The sequence below is a fragment of the Homo sapiens genome, chromosome X, assembly GCF_000001405.40.
Source record: "Homo sapiens chromosome X, GRCh38.p14 Primary Assembly".
NCBI lineage: Eukaryota > Metazoa > Chordata > Mammalia > Primates > Hominidae > Homo > Homo sapiens.
Genome location: NC_000023.11, coordinates 21,843,918 through 21,867,500, shown reverse-complemented (window position 1 = coordinate 21,867,500; position 23,583 = coordinate 21,843,918). Strand labels below are relative to the sequence as shown.

The 23,583-nt window shown below is 38.7% G+C and overlaps 2 protein-coding genes across 2 annotated transcripts in view; both read right to left on the bottom strand.

Annotated features, from left to right (window-relative positions):
• The window catches only part of MBTPS2 (membrane bound transcription factor peptidase, site 2), a 45,807-nt gene that overhangs the window by 17,923 nt on the left and 4,301 nt on the right, over positions 1-23,583 (bottom strand). The window contains exons 3-5 of the mRNA NM_015884.4: positions 22,117-22,330; positions 15,889-15,992; positions 13,998-14,125 (exon numbers count right to left, since the gene is read on the bottom strand). Of these exons, the coding sequence (NP_056968.1) occupies positions 13,998-14,125; positions 15,889-15,992; positions 22,117-22,330 (446 nt within the window). The remainder of the gene's footprint in view (positions 1-13,997; positions 14,126-15,888; positions 15,993-22,116; positions 22,331-23,583) is intronic.
• YY2 (YY2 transcription factor) lies at positions 8,761-11,514 on the bottom strand. The gene has a single exon (NM_206923.4). The coding sequence runs from the start codon at positions 11,014-11,016 to the stop codon at positions 9,898-9,900; it is 1,119 nt and encodes a 372-aa protein (NP_996806.2). The 5' UTR covers positions 11,017-11,514; the 3' UTR covers positions 8,761-9,897.

The following is a 23,583-nucleotide window of genomic DNA, read 5'->3' as shown; positions in this document are numbered from 1 at the left end:
TAATCACTCTTTTTGTGGAGAAGGATGGTTTAAATAGTTTTATTTTTACATTTAAATCTCTTACCATTTGGAATTTATTTTTGTGTATGTGTGTGATTTTTACATTTAAATCTTTTACCATTTGGAATTTATTTTTGTGTATGGTGTGACTGATACATATAACTAATTTTATTCAAATGTTTAGCTAATAATTACTGAGCAGTGCATTCTTTCCCTACTAAATTAAATGCAACTTTTAATTTACAATACATTTTCATCTATTCTTTGGCTTGCTTCTGGAATTTCCATTCTTTTCCACTATTCCAGTGACAATAAAGCTGTTGCTGGTAGTAATATTTCAGTATTTAGTAAATAAATACTTTCAATTTGTTTATTTTGGTTATTCTCCCCTTATCCTTTCTGATAAATTTGAGAATCATTTTGACAACCACCAAATATTATTCAAATTAGGATTTTTTTTCTTTTTTTCTTTTTTTTTTTTTTTGAGACAGAGTCACGCTCTGTTGCCCAGTGGCGAGATCTCAGCTAACTGCAACCTCTGCCTCCTGGGTTCAAGTGATTCACCTGCCTCAGCCTCCCGAGTAGCTGGGATTACAGGCGCCCACCACCACGCCCGGCTAATTTTTTTGTAGTTTTAGTAGAGACAGGGTTTCACCATGTTGGCCAGACTGGTTTTGAACTCCTGACCTCAAGTGATCCGCCCACCTCGGCCTCCCAAAGCGCTAGGATTACAGGTGTGAGCCACTACGCCTGGCCCACATTAGGATTTCTAATGTCACTGCAATGACTGCAATAACTAGGGGTAAATCCATAATTTTACATTTCTGACATAGGAACACGACATCTGTTTACTGAAATCTTCTACATCTCTCAGTACAGATTTGTAGTTTCTCTATATAGGCCCTGTGTACTTCTTTTAAAATGTTAGTTTTTTATTTTTTATATGTCACATTACTTTCTGAATGAGATCTTTTCTTCCTATTACATGATCTGTTTCTTTCAGATACACAGGAATACTACATTTATTTTTGTATATTTACTTTGTAATTAATCACCAAACTGAACTTTCCATTTAGGATGTCTTAGTCTTTATTCTCTTGGATTTTCCATTATTTGCTAATAATAATCATTTATCTCCTCCAACATTCATACCTCATCTTTTCCTTCCTGTTTGGTCTTATAGCAATGACTGTAACTTCTAGAACACTTTTCAATAGTTGTGATGGAATGCCTTTTTTGCTTTCTTCATGATTTTAATAAAACAACAGCCAAGAAACAGTAGGACTTAGATGGAATTGAGGATCAATTTTATTCTGGTTTATATACTAAGCAATGAGACTGGGGCAACAGTAGAAAAATCAGAATATGGGAGACTCAGGGTTTAAAAATATCATGGGGCCGGGCACGGTGGCTCATGCCTGTAATCCCAGCATTTTGGGAGGCTGAGGTGGGCAGATCACTTGAGACCAGGAGTTTGAGACCAGCCTGGGTGACAGAAAGATACTCTGTCTCAAAGAAACAAAAAAACAAAACAAACAAACAAACAAAAATCATGGGTCAAGGGAGAAGAAAATCTATAGTTGTCATCAAGGCAGCAAGATACCCATAGACTTGAAGCTGGTGATTATTATTAAGCGGGGGCTAAGGGCTACCCCAATCAAGCCCTACTTATGCTTAGTGTGGTTTGCAAATAATAATAAAAAAAAACCACAACTACCTTAATTCTCTAAACACACAGAAATGATTTACAGGTCACCAGATGACTGAATAGGTAAAATAACAACTCAATATTCCTTGAATAACTCACAGTAGTTATAGCTGAAAGAATGTAAACTATCAATTTGGCAAGGCTTACACTGTGTTCTAAGTTTAAATTCCAGCTTACTATAATCACAACATCACTTTTATCACCAATGTTTTTTACTTTGCCCTCAAATAAACTTACAACTGGCTTATACAAATAAGAACAGGGTTTTCAATATTTAAGAAGGATTTAAAAACATTTAAGTATAGAAACAGAATGGTCAAATTTTACTTCCACTATTTATAAAGGAATTTTTAGCAACAAAGCATAGAGAATTTTTTTAAAGCAATCTACTCTTCACTTGGAACCAGATAGCAGGTATTGTTTAATCCCTCTTCTAAAAATTCTATACACCATAATTCAAAATTTAAACATCTTCATTTACAGTGTGCTCAGGAAGTATCTCATCTCATCTCTCTTTTTTCCCCACCAAATTTCAGACAGATGTTTAGTGGCTTTTTCTTTTCAAAATCAGTATATATTTCATTTTTTTTTTTTTAAAGAAATAGCCCCGTGTGGTAGCTCTAGCTCATGCCTGTAATCCCAGCACTTTGGGAGGCCGAGGTGGTTGTATCTCTTGAACCCAGGAGTTTGAGACCAGCCTGGGCAACATGGCAAGACCCGCCTCTCTACAAAAAATACAAAAATTAGCTGGGTGTGGTGGTGCACACCTGTGGTGCCAGCGACTTGGGAGACTGAGAAGTGGGATGATCACTTGAACCCAGGAGGTCGAGGCTGCAGTGAGCGGTGATTGTACCACTGCCCTTCAGCCTGGGTGACAGGGTGATATCCTGTCTCAGAAAAAAAAAAAAAAAAGAAAGAAAGAAAGAAAAAAAGAAAAAAACCTATTACATATACAACTTATTTTGCTTTTGAAACAGAGTTCTCACTCTGTCATCCAGCTGGAGTGCAGTGGTACAATCTCTGCTCACTGCAACCTCTGCCCCCCAGGCTCAAGCCATCCTCCCACCTCAGCCTCCTGAGTAGCTGGGACCACAGGCATGCACCACCATGCTCAGCTAATTTTTTGTATTTTTAGTAGAGACGGAATCTTGCCATGTTGCCCAGGCTGGTCTCAAACTTCTGAGCTCAAGTAACCTGCCCACCTCAGCCTCCCAAAGTGTTGGGATTAAAGGCGTGAGTCACCACACCTGGCCTATATATGCAACTCTTTAAAAGTAGCATTATAAAACTAGATTTATTGGGAGGCTGAGGCGGGTGGATCACCTGTGGTCAGGAGTTCGAGACCAGCCTGGCCAACGTGGTGAAACCCCATCTCTAAAAAAACATAAAAAATTAGCTGGGTGTGGTGGCAGGTGCCTGTAATCCCAGCTACTTCGGAGGCTGAGGCAGGAGAACCACTTGAACTCAGGAGGCGGAGGTTGCAGTGAGCCAAGATCGTGCCATTGCACTCCAGCCTGGGCAACAAGAGCAAAACTCCGTCTCAAACAAACAAACAAAAAACAAAACAAAACAAAACAAAAAACTAGATTTAAATGACACCCTGGACTTTTTACATGGAAGTGGGAAGACATTTTAGAAGCAATGAAATTATATTCCTAAATTTAAAACCAATAAAGTAGGCAGAGGGTACACACATATTTCTCTCTCCCTCTAAATACATAATTTATGTACATCCCTAAACTTTGAGGAACACACAGGTTTCCCACGTTGTCTTCCACTTTGATGGCTACACCACGGTGAGCTCACAGCTCAGCAAACATTTAGCAGGGATACTAAACTCTTCTTTTTAGAGACAATTCCAGATCTTTGAATTTGTCCTGTCTTGAATTCAGGGCAAGATAAGCATCTCCTCCCCACCCCTAACCTTGCCCCCTTGCCTGGGAAAGACGGCAGGGCAAAGCTGTTCAGCTGTCTACTAGGCTGACAACTCACAACTGGGAATGAGAAGTTAATGGGCTAGGTGATGTTTGGGATAGCGGGACTAGTTAGTTCTATACCATTTAATAAGCTCTGAAAGAGGTGCGTGGACCCAATTATTGGTGGGGATATATATAACCTTCTTTAGTCTTAGTTTTGGACATTAGGTGTCAATTTTAAGGAAAAAGAAGTCTCAGTACATTTTAACCCTAATATGAAATTAATTTAAAAATGTTCAATTGGCTTTTAAAAAATTACTAAAAAATACACACTGACTATAAAAATTCCAAACAATATAGAAGTAATAAAAAGTCATCTTTCCCAAATACCATTTCTCAACCACCAGCCCCATGACTCACAGTAAGCATACTGTTATCATTTTCCATTACTCCAGATTTTCTCTGCCCACATCAGCATGTATATGAGTATACATGTGTAATAATTTTAATAATTTACTCAAGAGTACAAAGCAGCAAGTTTTCTAATAACTTTTTCAAGACAGTTTTATAGTTTTTAATTTTTTTTTAAATTTAATTTTTTTTTTTTTTTTTTGAGACAGTCTCACTGTCGCCCAGGCTGGAGTGCAACGGCGTGATCTCGGCTCACTGAAACCTCCGCCTCCTGGGCTCAAGCAACACTCCTGACTCAGTGTCCTAAGTAGCTGGGACTACAGGCGCGTGCCAGCATGCTCGGCTAGTTTTTTAGTGTGTGTGTTTTTTTTTCTAGAGACAGGGGTTTCACCATTTTGCTCAGGCTGGTCTTGAACTCCTGAGCTCAAGCCATCCTCCCACCTCCGCCTCCCAAAGTGCTGGGATTACAGGCGTGAGCCACCGCGCCCAGTCGGTTTTATATATATATATATATATATATATATATATATATGTTTATATATATATGTTTATATATTTATATATGTTTATATATATGTGTATATATATTTATATATGTTTATATATATGTGTATATATATATATGTTTTTTATATATATATGTTTTTTGTTTTTTGAGACGGAGTCTCGTTCTGTCGCCCAGGCTGGAGTGCAGTGGCGCAATCTCGGCTCACTGCAAGCTCCGCCTCCCGGGTTCACGCCATTCTCCCGCCTCAGCCTCCAGAGTAGCTGGGACTACAGGCGCCCCCCACCACGCCCGGCTAATTTTTTTTGTTTTTAGTAGAGACGGGTGGTTTCACCGTGTTAGCCAGGATGGTCTCCATCTCCTGACCTCGTGATCCGCCCGCCTCGGCCTCCCAAAGTGCTGGGATTACAGGCTCACGTGAGCCACCGCACCAGGCCTATATTTTTTAAACTCTTTTTTTCCCCTTAGCATCTTATATCCTATCCTATGGCAGATATGGTTATATGAACCCAGTGGTTCTCTGAAGCCTGCTCCTACCAGCTTGCCAGAGTTAATTGTGTGCATTTCTTCCTAATTCCTCCTTCAGGAAGTGCAGGTTTGCAGCTTGAAACTGACCACGGTGCAAGTATTTACACCACAGAAACCAGCAAATGCTACCATCAGAGCTCCCTACCTTAGCCCTGCAGAGCCAGATGTTAAACATTCACTTAACACGCCACTAGATAACCCCTTCCCCCATACCTAGTCTTCCCTTTTCCTATTGCAGTTTTCCTTATGGGGCGGGGTATGGGCACTACTAGCACCAGGATGTGATGGAGACAACCCTGTACTGTGGGCTGTAATGTAGCTATGATGGAGCTGGATTTAGGTCCACGACACAGAAGCTGCATGTTGGGAATAGCAGAGCTAACAAGACAGAACCTGTGTACCCAAATTACAGAGTTATCCGATCAACACTGAACTACTTATATTTGGAATGTTTTGAAAGTTTATGCCACTTATTTTTAGTTATTAGAGCAGCCAAATACCTAGCTAACACATGTTCCAAGTAATGAATTCACATTGTAAAATGTTCCTTTTAAAATTTTTAAAGTGTTGTAAATTATTAAATTCCAGAAATAGCCAGACAAAGTATGGTCTAGGACTTATCAGGTAAATGATCTTTTCTATTATATACAGATACATCATTTAAAAATACCAATGGTATCAAATTATTATACTATATTTTGCTTTTTCGTGTTTTTTTTTGTTTGTTTTTTTTAAAGAGACAGTCTCGCTCTATTGCCCAGGTTGGAGTGCAGTGCTGTGATCACAGCTCATGGCAGCCTTGAACTCCTGAAGTGATCCTCCCACCTCAGCCTCCTAAAATTTGGGATTACAGGTGTGAGCCATCACACCCTATTTGCTTTTAAATTTATATATTTTTGACATTTTTCCATATCTGTTCATAAATATCAATCTCATTATATCTGCTACAGAGTAATCCATTTTTATTAACATATCAACTTATTTATAAGGTATCCTACTATTAATCACTTAGGGTGTTTTAACCTTTTCATATAATACTGCAATACACAGCTTTGCTTATAATGTTAGGCGTCCAGTTAAGTATGCATCTGCAAGGGTATGAAAAATTACCTAGAAATGGAAATGTTGGGTCAAAAAATATGAACATTAAAGCTGACCTCCAATGAGTTTGCATTATTGAATTAATTTATACTCTCATAATTGACATTTTTCCACTCTCTGAATGACACTGGATGCTATCATAATTTTACTCTTTGCCAGTCTTCTGGGTGAAAAATTAAAGCCCATTTTCTTAAGAGCTACTTATTTCTATCCATTGCCATTTTTTGATTGAGTTGTCTTATTAATTTACTAATTTGTATATGCTATTATTTATAATCTATATAGGGAGGAATTTGGTCCTTTGTAACAGGTATTATAATTTTATCTTTCCAGTTTGTTGTTTGATGTGGTTTGTTGTTTTGCCTGTACAGATACTTTAAATTTTTGTGTGATCAAATAGTTCCTTGTACTAAGCCTTTTCCACCTCAAGATTATAAAAGATATTCACTTGTGTTTTCTTGTACTGCTTTCATAGCTTCCTTAACAAAATTAAAACAAAATTTAAAAAACCTAATCCTTTGATGCACAGTAATTTACTCTGGGGAAACTAATTTAGGATACTACTATGAATTCCCCCCAACCCCAGCTCAGTTGCTAGTCACAGAAACAAGACATGAACAAATGAGTAAAAGCCGGGACACTCAGCAGCACTGATTCCTTGACTATTTGTGTAGTCTCTTATCTCGTCAGGCATGTAGCTAGTACCAGATCACCCCTCTGATTCTGGATTTACCCATGCTGGTTAAGCGGCAATGAGGGTGGTGGAGCACAAACATTTCTTTCATCTGAACAACCTCTTGCCCATTAATGATTGGATTATAAGTACTGCAAACCTCTGGAATCTTTCTTATAAACTTTTACTTTTTCTACAGCAGGGTTTCTTAACAGGGACACTATTGGCATTTACTTTATTTTTTTTGAGACGGAGTCTCACTCTGTTACCCCGGCTGGAGTGCAGTGGCACTCTCTCAGCTCACTGCAACCTCCACCTCCTGGGTTCAAGCGATTCTCCTGCCTCAGCCTCCCAAGTAGCTGGAATTACAGGTGCTATGCCAGCAACCCCAGCTAATTTTTGTATTTTTAAGTAGCCGGGGGATGGTTTCACCATGTTGGACAGGCTGGTCTTGAACTCCTGACCTTAAGTGATCCACCCACCTCAGCCTCTCACAGTGCTGGGATTACAGGCAGGAGCCCTGCGCCCAGCCCCTCTGCCCCTTTTTCTCTTTTTTTTTTTTTTTTTGACACAAGGTCTTACTCTGTCACCTAGGCTGGAGTGCAGTGGCTCGATCACGGCTCACCGCAGCCTCGACTTCCCCAGCTCCAGTGATCCTCCCATCTCAGCCTCCTGAGTAGCTAGGACCACAGGTGTGCGCCCCACACTCAGCTAATTTTTTTATTTTTGGTAGAGACCGAGTTATGCCATGTTGCCCAGGCTGATGTCCAACTCCTGAGCTCAAACGATCCACCCACCTTGGCCTTCCAAAGTGTTGACATTACAGGCATGAGCCCCTGCACCTGGCACTATTGGCATTTTGGCCAAATAATTATGTGCTTCGTGGGGCTGTCTGCGCATTGTAGGATGTTTAGTGGCATTTCTGATCTCCCTCCACCCACCAGATGCCAGTAGCACCCTCCCCTTTTTCTTTAGTTCTAGCTTCTGTATTGACATAGGCAAACTACTTTTTTCTTTCTTTAGAAGAGGTGTTTTATTTTGCTTTTTCTATTACACAGGATGTACTTCTTAAGTGTTAAAGTCAACATATACACAATATATTCTACAAGCAAGCACTACTTTAACTGAACAGGCAAAGAAATTACACTAAACAACAGCATCTGGTAGTATTTTGGGGAAAATAAAATGACTAAAATAGGTTTAAACTAGTACTATTAAATCACCTAATATCAATACTACATGACCTAATACAGCTAAAATGCAAGATGTGTTAACATCTAATAATACAACCAAGATTAAAACAAATAACACCTATATAACTTTTTTAAGCAGGAAAATACTTCACGTATGCATATAATTGTTCACTCTTTTAAAGTAAATCTTTCCCAAAGTTATCAACCTCCAGAAAAACCATACATAGACTTATTAAGCATATTCCTAAAAGTATAAACATGAACATTTTGAATTTTTTTACAATTTAAAAAAAAAATTGTAAACAATAAATGAACTTCCTATTTCTAAGAATGTGAAAAGTCCCATTTTAAACACAGTTTGTAAGAACTGTCTCTTGATGTGAAGTCTACGAAGTCTATGGCTAATTTTTGTATTTTTAAGTAGCCGGGGGATGGTTTCACCATGTTGGACAGGCTGGTCTTGAACTCCTGACCTTAAGTGATCCACCCACCTCAGCCTCTCACAGTGCTGGGATTACAAGCAGGAGCCCTGCGCCCAGCCCCTCTGCCCCTTTTTCTCTTTTTTTTTTTTTTTTTTGACACAAGGTCTTACTCTGTCACCTAGGCTGGAGTGCAGTGGCTCGATCACGGCTCACCGCAGCCTCGACTTCCCCAGCTCCAGTGATCCTCCCATCTCAGCCTCCTGAGTAGCTAGGACCACAGGTGTGCGCCCCACACTCAGCTAATTTTTTTATTTTTGGTAGAGACCGAGTTATGCCATGTTGCCCAGGCTGATGTTCAATTCCTGAGCTCAAACGATCCACCCACCTCGGCCTCCCAAAGTGTTGACATTACAGGCCTGAGCCCCTGCACCTGACACTATTGGCATTTTAGCCAAATAATTATGTGTTTCGTGGGGCTGTCTGTGCATTGTAGGATGTTTAGTGGCATTCCTGATCTCCCTCCACTCACCAGATGCCAGTAGCACCCTCCCCCTTTTCTTTAGTTCTAACTTCTGTACTGATATAGGCAAACTACTTTTTTCCTTCTTTAGAAGAGGTGTTTTATTTTGCTTTTTCTATTACACAGGATGTACTTCTTAAGTGTTAAAGTCAACATATACACAATATATTCTACAAGCAAGCACTACTTTAACTGAACAGGCAAAGAAATTACACTAAACAACAGCATCTGGTAGTATTTTGGGGAAAATAAAATGACTAAAATAGGTTTAAACTAGTACTATTAAATCACCTAATATCAATACTACATGACCTAATACAGCTAAAATGCAAGATGTGTTAACATCCAAGACTACAACCAAGATTAAAACAAATAACACCTATATAACTTTTTTAAGCAGGAAAATACTTCACGTATGCATATAATTGTTCACTCTTTTAAAGTAAATCTTTCCCAAAGTTATCAACCTCCAGAAAAACCATACATAGACTTATTAAGCATATTCCTAAAAGTATAAACATGAACACTTTGAATTTTTTAACAAGTTTTTTAAAAACATTGTAAACAATAAATGAACTTCCTATTTCTAAGAATGTGAAAAGTCCCATTTTAAACAGTTTGTAAGAACCGTCTCTTGATGTGAAGTCTACGAATTTTTCTCCTGTTGGGACCAAACTTTACAAAAATAGTTACAGAACAAGCTATGGCATCTTAGCACTATTATCTTATGTCAAGGTTTACCTTTTTAAAAACGTTTAAATTCTATTTTTACTACTCTAACAAAACACGAACCTTAAATGTGCAGGATTCATTTTTTTTTAAAACTCTTAGAAACAACATACAAAGCTTTGAGAGGCATATTTATTCCCTACCGCAGTCCTGGAAGATAATTCCCAAGTCTGAGAGGGGTCTTCTCCTTTTCACGGGTTGTTTTTGGTCTTCACATGCGTTAATATGTGGGTTTTCAGGTTGGTTGACTGAGCGAACTTCCTGTTGCAAACATCGAAGGGGCACACGAAGGGCTTATCGCCGGTGTGGATGCGCAAGTGTGTGCGCAAATTGAAATCAAGGGAAAAGCGTTTCCCGCAGCCTTCGAATGTGCACTGAAAGGGCTTCTCGCCGGTGTGGACCAGCTGGTGTCGTCTCAGCTTTGAGCTCTCAAGAAAAGCTTTGCCACATTCTGCACATACGTGGACTCTGGGCCCGTGGATGTGGAGATGTTTTCTCATGGCGGCGTAATCCCGGAACATCTTTTCGCAGCCGCTATAAGAGCAAGGGACTGTTTTGGGAGGTTCTCCTTTGGACCTTTTGGGCTTCACTTTAGTAAATTCTGCCAGCTGTTTAGGATCTGAGAGATCAATGCCTGGTAACCCCCCAGGAGGAAGTTTCTTCCCTTTCAAGTACTCGGAATAATCAGGTGGGTTTTCAGCCTGGCCTTCACCCACTGCCCCTTGGTCATTGTTATCGTTAGGGGACCACATAGTCACGGAAAACTCACCCTCCAGCGTTTTGACCTGCATTTGCTTCTGCTCCCACTTCCTCGTGCCCAGGCTGGAGCTGCTGCCTGCCGGGTTGGCCTCAGTGCTGGTGGCACTCTTGCCGCTGGGCTTTTTGCTGGGCTTTTTGCTGCGGCTCTGGGTTGATGTTGATGTTGATGCCGCCGAGGCCGACAGAGAGGCCAGGGTCATCTGGAAGTGCTCGTCTTCAATGCTATCCGGGAGGGCCAACTGGTCCTCCAAGTCGTTGCCTAGCTGGTTGTCTGAGTCGCAATAGCCCACCACTTCCTCTTGTGTCTGCAACATAAGCATTTCCTGGTCGTGGTCGCCATAGCCCGTGTTCGTGAAGAGCGGCTGCAACACCATCAATGGCGGATGGTTGTGGCCACCGTAGATCCAATTGCCATCCACATCCTCGTACTGGACGCTTTCCGTCGGAATGTCCTCCATAGGAAGGGGCTCCACATTGATGTCGTGGAGCTCCACAATATCTGCCGGGATCTCCAGGTCTTGTGTGATGGAGAAATCTTCGTTGGAGGCCATGGCTGAGAGTTAGTTAGGTTAGCGGCAACGGGAAGACCGTGGGAAAAAGAACGCTGAGGGGAGTGAGGTGGGAGCTGCAGAGGAAGGGGCGAGCTGCAGAGGAAGGGGCGAGCTGCAGAGAAAGGCGCGAGCTGCAGAGAAAGGCGCGAGCTGCAGAGAAAGGCGCGAGCTGCAGAGAAAGGCGCGAGCTGCAGAGAAAGGCGCGAGACTGAGGAAAGCACGAGCCGGAAGGCGCAGGTGCTTCTGGGATAGCCAGACGCATGCGCCTAGGCAACTGGCGCGTCTGTCGGCCCCAAAAGCACGTGCACGTGCCCGCGTACGTTTGCCACCCTGCGACCCCGCCCAGCTGTTGTTTTTCCACTTTCGTAAGCAGGCTCTTTACTGATTTTTTATGTATTTCATTTTAGTTGATTTTCATGTCTTCCCCTCCTGTCCATCCCATATAACAGTATCTGCCAAAAAAGCCTACTCCTTTTATGCTTTTTTCTCTTATTTAATTGCACTAATACGACATTTAATATCAGTAATAGTTGATAGTAGAATTTGTCTTGTCCTTTAATAGGAATGCAAAGTGTTGTGCTATTATGATGTATGCAGCTATTCCTACTTTTACTAAGGATTTTTTTTTTTTTTTGAGACGGAGTCTCGCTCCGTCGCCCAGGCTGGAGTGCAGTGGCGCGCGATCTCGGCTCACTGCAACCTCCGCCTCCTGGGTTCGAGTGATTCTCCTGCTTCAGCCTCCAGAGTAGCTGGGCCGGGCACAGCAATCCCACACCTGTAATCCCAGCACTTTGGGAGGCCGAGGCAGGAGGGTCACTTGAGGTCAGGAGTTTGAGACCAGCCTAGCCAACATGGCAAAACCCCTTCTCTACTAAAAATACAAAAATTAGCTGGGCGTGGTGGCTCGTGCCTGTAATCCTAGCTACTCGGGAGGCTGAGGCAGGAGAATCGCTTCAACCTGGGAGGCAGAGGTTGCAGTGAGCCTAGATCATGCCGCTGCACTACAGCCTGGGCAACACAGCGAGACTCCATCTCAAAAGAAAAAGGGCGTTCTTTATCAACTTTCTTAATTTCTCCCATTGTAATTATTTGCCTATTTAGATTTTTTTGATTGCCTCTTGGGTTAATTTCAGCTATTTTTATTTTCTTATATTTATACAGGGTTTTGAAATTTTTTTTGTGGAGATGAGCAAACAACACTTATAATTGTTTTTATTTTCTCTGTTATCAATTGTCATTCCCCAATCTGATTGCTAATTGTCTTTAGATGCTTTTTCTCATTGTTCGACCTTTGATTTTTTTTTAAGAGCTCTTGGATTTAGCAGATCTAGTTTTGTTTTTTCTAATTTATTATTTTCTGCCTATATCCTTACTAATTACGTCATCATTTCTTAATTATTTTACAGTTCTTTTCTCACTTAAGTTTAATACTCAACTAATCTATTTCCATTTGTATTTGCATGACTGCCTAAGGCAGTGCATTTTTCTTTTAGCAAAACTTTAAACATTATCTCAGTAAAATGATTTCATCATCATAATTTTTAGATCTACTGAAATCACAGGTTTGAATTAAATTGATCCAAGGTGTGATTAAGATAAATTTCTAAATTTCAGGTAGTTTTTACTTAGTTTGCTAGTCTTCTCTTGGGAATTTACTGTGACTTTAAGTCCCATGGGCACTTGAAAAAATATTGTCTTCTGTGTTCACGGTATAGAGTTTGACATACCTATTTTTACCTTAGCCTAACTTTTTTATACTTATCTGCCATGTATTAAAGCGTGAGTCTTTTTATTACCTGTTTCTTCTTATACTTTTCCCATTTTTGTTTTGCTTTGATGGTTTGTTACTTGATACAGTAAGATTCACAACTGTTATATTTTCATTGTGGCTTATATTCCTTATTATTGTTAAATGGCCCCCAATGTCTAATATAATGCTTTTGGTCTTATTTTCTGTTCCCATTTGCATGTTATGTTCTGCTCATCATTTTACTTTCATTATTTTTGAGTAATTATTTACACAGATTTATTTTGTACATCACATATTTGGGACATGTTTTAAATACAAACTAAGGGCATCTTTCTTTCAGTAGGTGAGCTTATTTCATTTATGTTTATTGACAAAATAAATGTGTTTTGGTCTTAAATTCATTACCATGGTTTATCTTTTGATATAGGGTCTGTTTTCTTTGGTCTGTGTTTCATGCTTTCACTGTGATAACTTGAAAAGTTTATGTGTGTTTTTAGATCTTGTAGTATTTACATTTATAATCTTAAGTGATATACTCAAGCCTCTATTTCTTGATTTATCAGGTTCAGGCAGATGTCCTCTCCACTATGAAGTTGAGGAAATTAGTATTTATATTTCCCGTTTTTGTTTTTCCCACCTTCAGGTTTTTTTTGTTGTTGTTGTCGTTGTTAGTTTGAGAATTCTAACTCCACACTTGCTTAGCCTCAGTTATTCCATTAAAAGTGATGCAGGGTTGTGATGGATTTGTCGTATGTCAGTTTCACTCAGCTGGAACTGTGGTTCCATCTCCAAGGGATTCTGTTTCTCTGATTGAACTCTGACAGTGCTAGAGTTCACTACTCATCCTTTCATAACCCTTTTTTTCCATTCCTGGATACTTTTGATTTATCTCTTAGTCAATTCTTCATATTCTCCCTTGATTTGATGCAAATTTCATTCTATTTCAGCTGAGTTGACATTCTTCATAGTTTGTGATTTCATGTTGTGGACAAAACAAAGTTTTCCTCTGTTTTTAAATTTTTTAAAATTATGTTGTTTTTAGTTGGTTTTAAGGAAGCAACTGGAATGTAAATTATTTTACTCCTCTACTTTTGAAGGGGTCTTATAAACTGAAGTTATTAACCAAAAGATAAGATATTGTCATTTGTGATATATTTTCCAAAAAGCACTAACCATAGAAAATCAAAACCAAAACCACAGATGAATATTAAAACAAAATTAAGTCTGTTACCTGCACAAAATATCCTTAGCTGCTGGACTGGCGATATAAGTTGCAAATGAGTGGTGAACAGATCAACAAATGCTCCAGGATAAATAATGAAGAGAAAAATCCCAAAGCCATTAAATCGAACTTGTTCCCTAAGAAATCACATAAGAAAAAGGAGTTTACTAATACTATTATATTTATCAAATTAATAGTGTACATAATCTTAAAACTTTTCACTGTAATTTGAATTCTTGCTTAAAAAACAGAAAGTCTCTCTGAACAGCCAAAAAAATTATATCTATACTATATATAATCTTAATTTTATAATAATGTACAGATTTGGTTATCTGTGAAATTGAATTTTGCAAAATAGGGCATACTGAAATAGACATAACTTCAAAATTTTTAGAAACCAATATGTTGAGCAAATAATTGAAGTTAGTCACATATATACAGAAATGGCTTTTATGAGAAACTAAATGAAAAACATTTTTATGGTTTACTCTGAACTATTTTCAGAGAAGAACATAGGAGACGATATAATTCAAGTAAATTACCTAATAACTTGTATTTGTCTTAGCAATTATAAATAATGGTGGAGATTTATCTAGGTGTATTCCTATCAAGCTAACGTTAAATAAGTATGTTTAAACATGCATAATGCTCAGATTGTCCTTAAGAGAACCAGTTTTTTCAGCAGGTTTTGATCTCCATATTAAAAAAAAAAAGAGAACCATTTTTTATCAGTTCATTTTCCAAAAATTAATATTTAAGTCTCATAAAACCAAACAGCCCCCCTAGAAAAAAGTATCACCTAAATATATTGTGCTGTTGCTTAATACTAAATATATAAGACAACCGTACAGTTCATTTTTTTTCTTGGCAGTTGGGACTTAAAAAAAAATTACCCAAGTTATTTTTACAAACATACTGTAAATTGTTAAGCTGTTATTAACGATGTGTCTATAGGTAAAATCCTAAAGGCTGCAAAGCACTGAAGGCGATTTTAAAAGAAAAAAAAAACCCAGCAGCCACCACTTTAAGCCACTATTGTGCACATCTGTGTAACAGTATATGCTCTGTCAAGATGAGGATTTATTGCCAATAAATAGACTCTTGTTCATAAACAACTGGAAAGTAATAAGAAGTGATTACATCTTCTCTGCCAAAACAGAGGTTTTTAACCTTTTCTCTGGTCCACACACCGAAAGGATAAAACACATTCCTATTAGCATGCTTGCTAATTATGGCCGTAATTATCAGTGGAGGTAGCAGGGGAGTTATGACGTGGCCCTCTCCCCATCATGATTTTATATGTGTTATAGGCTTCTAAATGCTTAGGTATAGTTACAATGATACATTTGGGAAGCCAAGACCAAGAACAGGGAGTGATACTCAAAGCTAGTCCCAGGTGTCTTCTTATCTTCCACTTGGGTTTCTAGATAGACTATGATATTTGTTAAACCCAGTGCTTTCAGTTTTCTTGCTCTAGCCAGCAGAGGACATAAGCAGAAGCAGGAAATTATTTCAGCTGATAAGTCAAATCAAGTTCTAAGGTGAGTGGGTTTTGAGTACAGTGGTTATCATTCTGACTCGATGAACAGAAAGATTGGCTTTTAGGACTTGGTAAAAAACTTTGAGGCATCATGAGGATAACCACACTGGAAAAGGCAAAGGATAGAAAGACCCTGATTACAGATATGCCCATGGTTAATGGAGCATATTCATCAACATATTAATCTTCTCTATAAAAAAAGAAGCTTCCTCAAAGTAACAAATGATGGCTATGCACTAGGCAATAGCCGCAGAAAGAAAAATAGTGAAGTATCAAATATAGCAGATTTTAGTAATAAATCCTCCTAAATGAAAAGCTTTTTTTTGCATGTAGTACAAAGAAAAAGGTAAATATCATTACCTAATAGCTGCTATCCCATGTCCAATTTCATGTACAACACCACTAATGAGAACTGCCGTGAAGAAATAGGTCAGTTGATTGACGGGTAAATTTATACCAGGAACCTGTTCATAGACACAATATGGCAGCAATTATCAGTGGGGGTGCAGGGGAGTCCCACTTGGGCACTAAGATACATGATGTTCATTCTGTATTAAACCTTCAAGCTGAATGTTCTGCAAACTAAAAGTAATATGACAATGGTTCACTTCTCCATTTCTATCATAATAAAAAGCAAAAACGCTATTTCATTTTTCGAACTAGCCAGTTTCTCTGGAACAAGCACACCACCAGTCTAAAGAGAATGAGAAACACCAGGTTAAACAGTTGAGATGTTAGCTTCCTGGAGTCTTCACCTTGGGAAAGAATGAGGGAGCCCAGCAAAGTGCCAAGGAATGCAGGATGACAGTGAAGCAGGCAGCAGCTGACCCAACCTCAAGGGCTGGATGCCTGATTTGGGAATCCTTGTTAAAATTCCTAGACCTTCCGCTGAATTGTTATTGCAAGGTTCCAAGTACTTGTGTTGATTAATATAGGAACTCCATATTATTAATCAGCGAGTTTCATTTTAATATCCTCAAGTTATAGGTGAGTTGGTAATGAAAGCTGGTCTAATAGGGATCCCGATCAGTGTGGGAGCACCATACCCTTCTATTCCATTAGTTGGTCTACTATGTTGGTCAGAAAAATAGTGTGGAAGAGATACACAAATACATTAAAATTGAAATTTAATGTCGAAATTAAGGCATTTGGAACCTACAGACATGTTACAAACATATGAAGCAGGAGTTGTCTTACAATCATGTGCTCCTAAAATGTGCAGGTATATATTATTGCATACACAAGGGAAGATAAGAGCTGCACAGCAAATTTTTTTAGATAGCAAAGATATATTCTCGTAAGATAAGTAATCACTCCCAAGTTATGTCATCTGTTAAAGAGAGACAATAAATTAGGCTAAGTGGGACACACCAGGCTCAGGAATACCATTTACATACTGAGAATCTATTTCTTACAGTCCAGGAGTTGGGACTAAAAGGTATCCTTTTGGAGGAAATTTCTGCTTTCTTTTATAATTATATTAATTATAAAAAATATGTTTAAAGCAAGAAAACTGGAAAATTCAAAGCAAAACAGAAGCCTAAAATTCTGCTCCCCAAACATACATACACATATAAAACCATTGTGAACCATTCTGATGTATGTCCTTCTAGTCTTTTCCTGTACACATAATTTTAAAAACTATACTTTTATTATAAATCTGGTTTTGAAATTTGCCCCTTCACTTAACAGTATCACAGACGTCTTCCCATGAGTATTTTCTATTTCAATATGATTTTTAATAGCTACACTGTGTTCTATGGAATAAACTGTTGGGCATTTAATTAAGTTTCTGCTCTTATAATGTGATAAAGATATTTGGACACACACACCTAAATATTTTGGAGGAAGAAATTCTTAGATGAGCATACTTGCTAAGGGATTGGGCTCTTGAGACATGTTATGGGTTTGAGGTCCTGTCTCTTTTTTTTTTTTTTTTTTTTTTTGAGACGGAGTCTCGCTCTGTCGCCCAGGCTGGAGTGCAATGGCGCGATCTCGGCTCACTGCAAGCTCCGCCTCCTGGGTTCACGCCGTTCTCCTGCTTCAGCCTCTCCGAGTAGCTGGGACTACAGGCGCCCGCCACCACGCCCGGCTAATTTTTTTTTTTTTTTTTTGTATTTTTAGTAGAGACGGGGTTTCACCGTGGTCTCAATCTCCTGACCTCGTGATCCGCCTTCCTCCGCCTCCCAAAGTGCTGGGATTACAAGCGTGAGCCACTGCGCCCGGCCGGTCCTGTCTCTATCTCTTAACTAGCTAAATGACCTTGGGAAAGTTGGCATTATTCCTCCAACATTCCTATTTTCTCATCATTAAAATGGAAATAACCACATTTGCACAAAAGGGTAATTTTGAGGATTAAATGAGCTAATCTTTGTCCAATGTTTAATGTTATGCCTCACAGAGAGGGTAGTAAATGCTATTATTACACAAAATTTAAAAGATTTTGATACATGTCATCAAATTATACTCTAAAAGCAGACCCTTTCATAACCTTGGGCAAGCTCGTTTTATTCAAATCTGCAATGTGATTTACATTTCTTTGACCATTTGTAAAGCTGAACTTTCCCCGTACTTTTGACCATTTTTTGGTCCTTCTGCGAGTTGCCTACTGATAACCTGACTTGTTTTCTCCTAAAGTATTCAACTTTTTCTTACTGATCCGTAAGATCACTTCAAATATCAGCATTGGTCCTTTGTAATACATGACATAAATGTATTCCACAGTTTGTTTGCCTTTTAATTTTACTTTGTTTTTAGTTTTTGATATATAAAATTTAGGTAGTCAAATCTATTAGTATTCATGGTTTCCTACAACACCAAGAGTGAACCCTAATGTAAACTATGGGTGGTAATGACATATTCACGTCGGTTCATCATTGTAAGGGGGGAAATCTCCGTACCTTCTTAATTTTGCTGTGAATCTAAAACTGCTCTAATAAAGTATTTAAAAAATAAAAAATAAAGGTGTTACTGTTACATAAAAAATATTCATGGTTTCTACTATTCGCTCTATGTCTTCCTCATTCTGTGCTCATAAAAATGATAACATGGGTCTTTTCTTTCAAGGCCTTTTATGGTTTCAAGTTTTAATTTTAATTCAACTGGAATTTATTTTTATGGACACAGAAATCTCATCTAAAAAGCTTCCTTTAGTAACTGAAGATTCAAACAATGCTGCTTGAATCATTTTCTAAATTCCATTAATTCCAAGTGTCCTTTCTCTAGTTAAGAAACTAGTTATAATCATTTTTGTTGTTGTTGTTGTTTTATTTTATTTTATTTATATATTTTTTTGAGACGAGTCTCGCTGTGTCGCCCAGGCTGGAGTGCAGTCGCGCGATCTCGGCTCACTGCAAGCTCCGCCTCCCGGGTTCATCTCATTCTCCTGCTTCAGCCTCCACAGTAGCTGGGACTACATGCGTCCGCCACCACGCCCGGCTAATTTTTATTTATTTATTTATTTTGTATTTTTAGTAAAGACAGGGTTTCACCATGTTAGCCAGGATGGTCTCGATCTCCTGACCTCGTGATCCACCCACCCTGGCCTCCCAAAGTGCTGGGATTTCACTCTTGTTGCCCAGGCTGGAGTGCAATGGTGTGATCTTGGCTCACTACAACCTCCGCCTCCCAGGTTCAGGCAGTTCTCCTGCTTCAGCCTCCCAAATAGCTGGGACTACAGGCACACGCCACTACACCCGGCTAATTTTGTATTTTTAGTAGGGACGGGGTTTCACCATGTTGCCCAGGCTGGTCTCGAACTCCTGACCTCAGGTGATCCACCCACCTCGGCCTCCCAAAGTGCTGGGACTACAGGCGTGAGCCACTGAGCCCGGCCGAAACTAGTTATAATCATTTTTAATGTGTGCATAATATCTAATTGAATGACAATCCAATAATTTAACCATTCCTCAATTAGATATTTTGGTTGCTTTTAATTCTTCATAATAATAAATAATGTTAGGCTAAAGAGCTTAATGAATACTATTTTTTCTATATTTGAAAGTGTTTCCTTAAGCTAGAGTCCCAGATGTGGAGGTAAAGAGTCAAAGGAAATGGATATGTTTATAATGTTCATTATCTGAAATTCTCTTTACTTGGACCCTATTGAGCAACTTTTCTCAAGAACTTCTATGTCCCTTTTTATATACCTGCTCCATTCCTAAGTTGTCAGACATCTTTCCAGTATTATACTTTTCTCTGACCCCTCTCTAAATTTACATACTTAAGACTGTCATACATACCCTCTATATCACAAAATATCCTGCTTACCTTACCTTTATTTCAAATAAATCAGTAAGCTTGGTCCAATAGGATATTTCTTCCTTCTCTTTATTATTTTCTGCATGTACTAGTGAGTGAGATAAAGTAAGAATTTGAATGTGTGATAATACCAACAGATGGTAGGTCTTATTTGCTGGCAACAGTACACGATTGCCCATCTGTCTCTGCCATGATTCACACAGGGTATCAGATGTACCAGAATACTGAATACAGAATACTTTCAACAACACAGAGTGCCATGGTTTGGAGAATTAATACTGAACAAGGCTGTCAGGAATTATAGAGTAAACAGAAAGTATGTTACTTAAGCTACAAGAGCTCATGTCAAAGTCAGGATTCATAACATTCTTAAACTTATACATGAATATGCATGGTGGGCTCCAGAGGGCAGCTGACTTCTTAATGGTTCCAAAGCACGGATCTCCTAATAGAGCTGACATTTTTGTGAGTACTATGAATAAACTGAGTGGCAAAGAGAAGAAATAATTTCTTCTCTAAACAACGTTTTGCCATTCTAATTCTAGCAGGCAGATAAGCCAGTGATCATATTTTCTCCAACTGGCTTCTTTCTCTCTTACCCTCTTTCTTGTTGAACAAGAACCAATTGTGTAACCTGAGAGTCATCCTAAACTTTTCCTTCTCCCTCCAGCCTCACATTTAATTAATCACCAATGTCTGAGAATTCCACTCCAAAAGCTTACTTGAATCCATCCCCTTCATTCTCCTTGCCACTAATTTTATATCTTTATCACTTCTAAAATAAATTACTGCTCTTAAATGATCTCCACATCTTCACTCTAATGACTTTGGTCCATTTTGTACAGACTTGCTACCTACAGGTAAAACATAAACTTCATAACCTAGACCCTACCTGTATCTCCCACCTTATATCCTGCACTATCCTGTTCTCTTGCCTCCAGTCCCACCTATCCTCCCACCATATACCTAGAGGTTTAAAACTGTAAGTAAAATTACTTATAGTTCCTTGAAGAATTATTTGTCTCTCTTAAAAGTAGAGCATAGGCCGAGCGCAGTGGCTCATGCCTATAATCCCAGCCCTTTGGGAGGCCAAGGCGGGTGGATCATCTGAGGTCGGAAGTTCAAGACCAGCCTGATCAACATGGAGAAACCCCGTCTCTACTAAAAGTACAAAATTAGCCAGGCGTGGTGGTGCATGCCTGTAATCCCAGCTACTCAGGAGGCTGAGGCAGGAGAATCGCTCGAACCCGCGAGGCGGAGGTTGTGGTGAGCTGAGATCGCGCCATTGCACTCCAGCCTGGGCAGCAAGAGCAAAACTCCGTCTCAAATAATAATAATAATGATAATAAAATAATAATAGAGCATAATGTCTATAGGCTGTAAGATCAGTGATGATGGATCTACTAGTTATGAGCTGTGACCACAGGCAAGTGACTTAACGTGTCTGTGCCTTGATTTTCTCATCTGTAAGGCAGGGAATGTTTGCTGAAGAAAGAAATAATTTCTTCTGAGGCCTCACCTGCTAAATCTTTTTAATCTCTAAAAAAGAGCTATGGCCATAGGAGAGATTATTGTTCTCTACAAATGACTTCTAAATCTTCCCAGTGACCCAGCCTAGTAGAGGACACAAAGAGACAAGAAAAAAAAACCCAATCTGTTACTAATCCTTAGTCTACTCCATTAATAAGAACATGATTAAAAACAACATCCATGACTCATGGAAATGGGAACTATAAATGTAAAAATGTGAAATAAAAGTGAGCCAATGTAAAGCCCCCTTCCAAACTTTGGAGACATAAAATGATAAGGTATAGGTCTACACATGAGTTTTAAAGGAGTACAACTCAGCACATTATTCTTCACATTAAGAAATCACAGTGACCATTCAGAAAGGTCTTATATCTTTAATTAAAAGGATATTATTGGTTAGGCTCTGAAGGCCATGAAAAGGAAAGGGAAACACTTTGCATATAATTAGAATGCAATTTACTTATACATTATAGAGATCTTAAATCAGCATGCCTATTCTTTGAAAATAACAATCATTTAATATCTTAAAAAGACAGTCACGTATCTGTTTAATTGCTGACAGTCTTAATGATGGTTCATTTGTTCTCTTTTACCATTAATATTACAACTACTACCAAATATTTCAACAATTCCTTGCTGTATTCTTATTAATTTTTTTGTGTAAGCAGGTAATTTGAAAATTATGAGACTTTTAATTTATTTTCATATTTATATTATGGATAGGAGTTACACTAGATCATAAGTGGTATCTTGCATCTCTATTTCGATAGTTATTTAAAGCGAAAAGACGATACTTACCACAACTTGTAACACCTGTTCATTGTGAAGCGAGGAAGAGGAAGAAGATGAAGAAGAGGAAGAGGAAGAAGAGGAGGAAGAGGAAGAAGAGGAGGAAGAATAAGAAGAGGGAGAGTCAGCCATCATTTGTGCCAAAGTCTGCATCAGCGTTTTTCCAAGGAGAAAAAATGAGCTAAACATGGCAATTACGCCAAACACCATTCCAAAATTGAACCTGTCAAAAGGGAAAAAAATCATGTTAATTTACAATTTCTCTCAATTCATGGACTAGCAAATTCACTAAGCAGCCACATTTCATAGCTTTAAAATAATGGCTAAAAAATTTCAGTAACTCTGCTTCTTTTTCCTACATGAACTTCAAATATTTGACTGCAGCATGAGCACTAGTTTAAGCAGTTTTATAATTTATAATTCTCTGATAACTAAAGAATCTGAATATCATTCCCAATAAAAAAGTTTGTTTCCTCTCATGCACTTGCTCATTTACATAATATTGTTTTGATCTTGTCCTTATATCGTTATGAAAGCCCTTTTGACGTTATAGACATCCATCCTTTTTCATCTACCTCTTCTATTGTCTGCATCGTATTTCAGCTTTACTTTGTGATAAAATGAGCTTAAATATTAACATGGTATAATTTAATAATAATTTCTTTTTTCTATTGTTTTAATTATTAAAAGCTACCATTGTATAGTGGAGATAATCTGCCATGTTTTCTAACTTTGGTAAGTTGTGCTTTTCAAGGAACTTGTTTATTTCACTAAAACTGTCAAATTTATAGGCATAGAATTTTCTTAATAGTCTTACTATGTTTTTAATGCCTATAGAATCTGTAGTAATGTCCTCTTTTCAATTCCAATTTTTGTTTTTGAGACAGGGTCCCACTGTGTCACCCAAGTTGGAGTGCAGTGGCACGGTCACAGCTCACTGCAGCCTTCACCTCCCAGAGCTCAGGTGATCCTCCCAACTCAGCCTCCCAAGTAGCTGGGACCACAGACCCATACCACCACGCCTGGCTAAGTTTTATATTTTTTGTAGAGATGGGGTTTCGCCATGTTACCCAGGCTGGTTTCGAACTCCTGGGCTGAAGCAATCCGCCCATCTCGGCCTCCTAAAGTGCTGGGATTACAGGCATGGGCCACTGTGCCTGGCCTCAATTCTCATTTTTAATTACTTACGTTTCTTTTTTCTTCATCAGTCATGGTAGGGGTTTATCAATTAATATTTTCTATTTATTTATTTATTTATTTATTTATTTATTTATTTATTTATTTGAGATAGGGTCTTGCTGTGTCACACAGGCTGCAGTGCAGTGGTGTGATCTTGGCTCTCTGCAACCTCTGCCTCCCAAGTTCAAGGATTCTTGTGCCTTAGCCTCCCGAGTAGCTGGGACCACGTGCGCCACCATGCCCGGCTAATTTTTGTATTTTTAGTAGAGACAGGGTTTCACCATGTTGGCCAGGCTG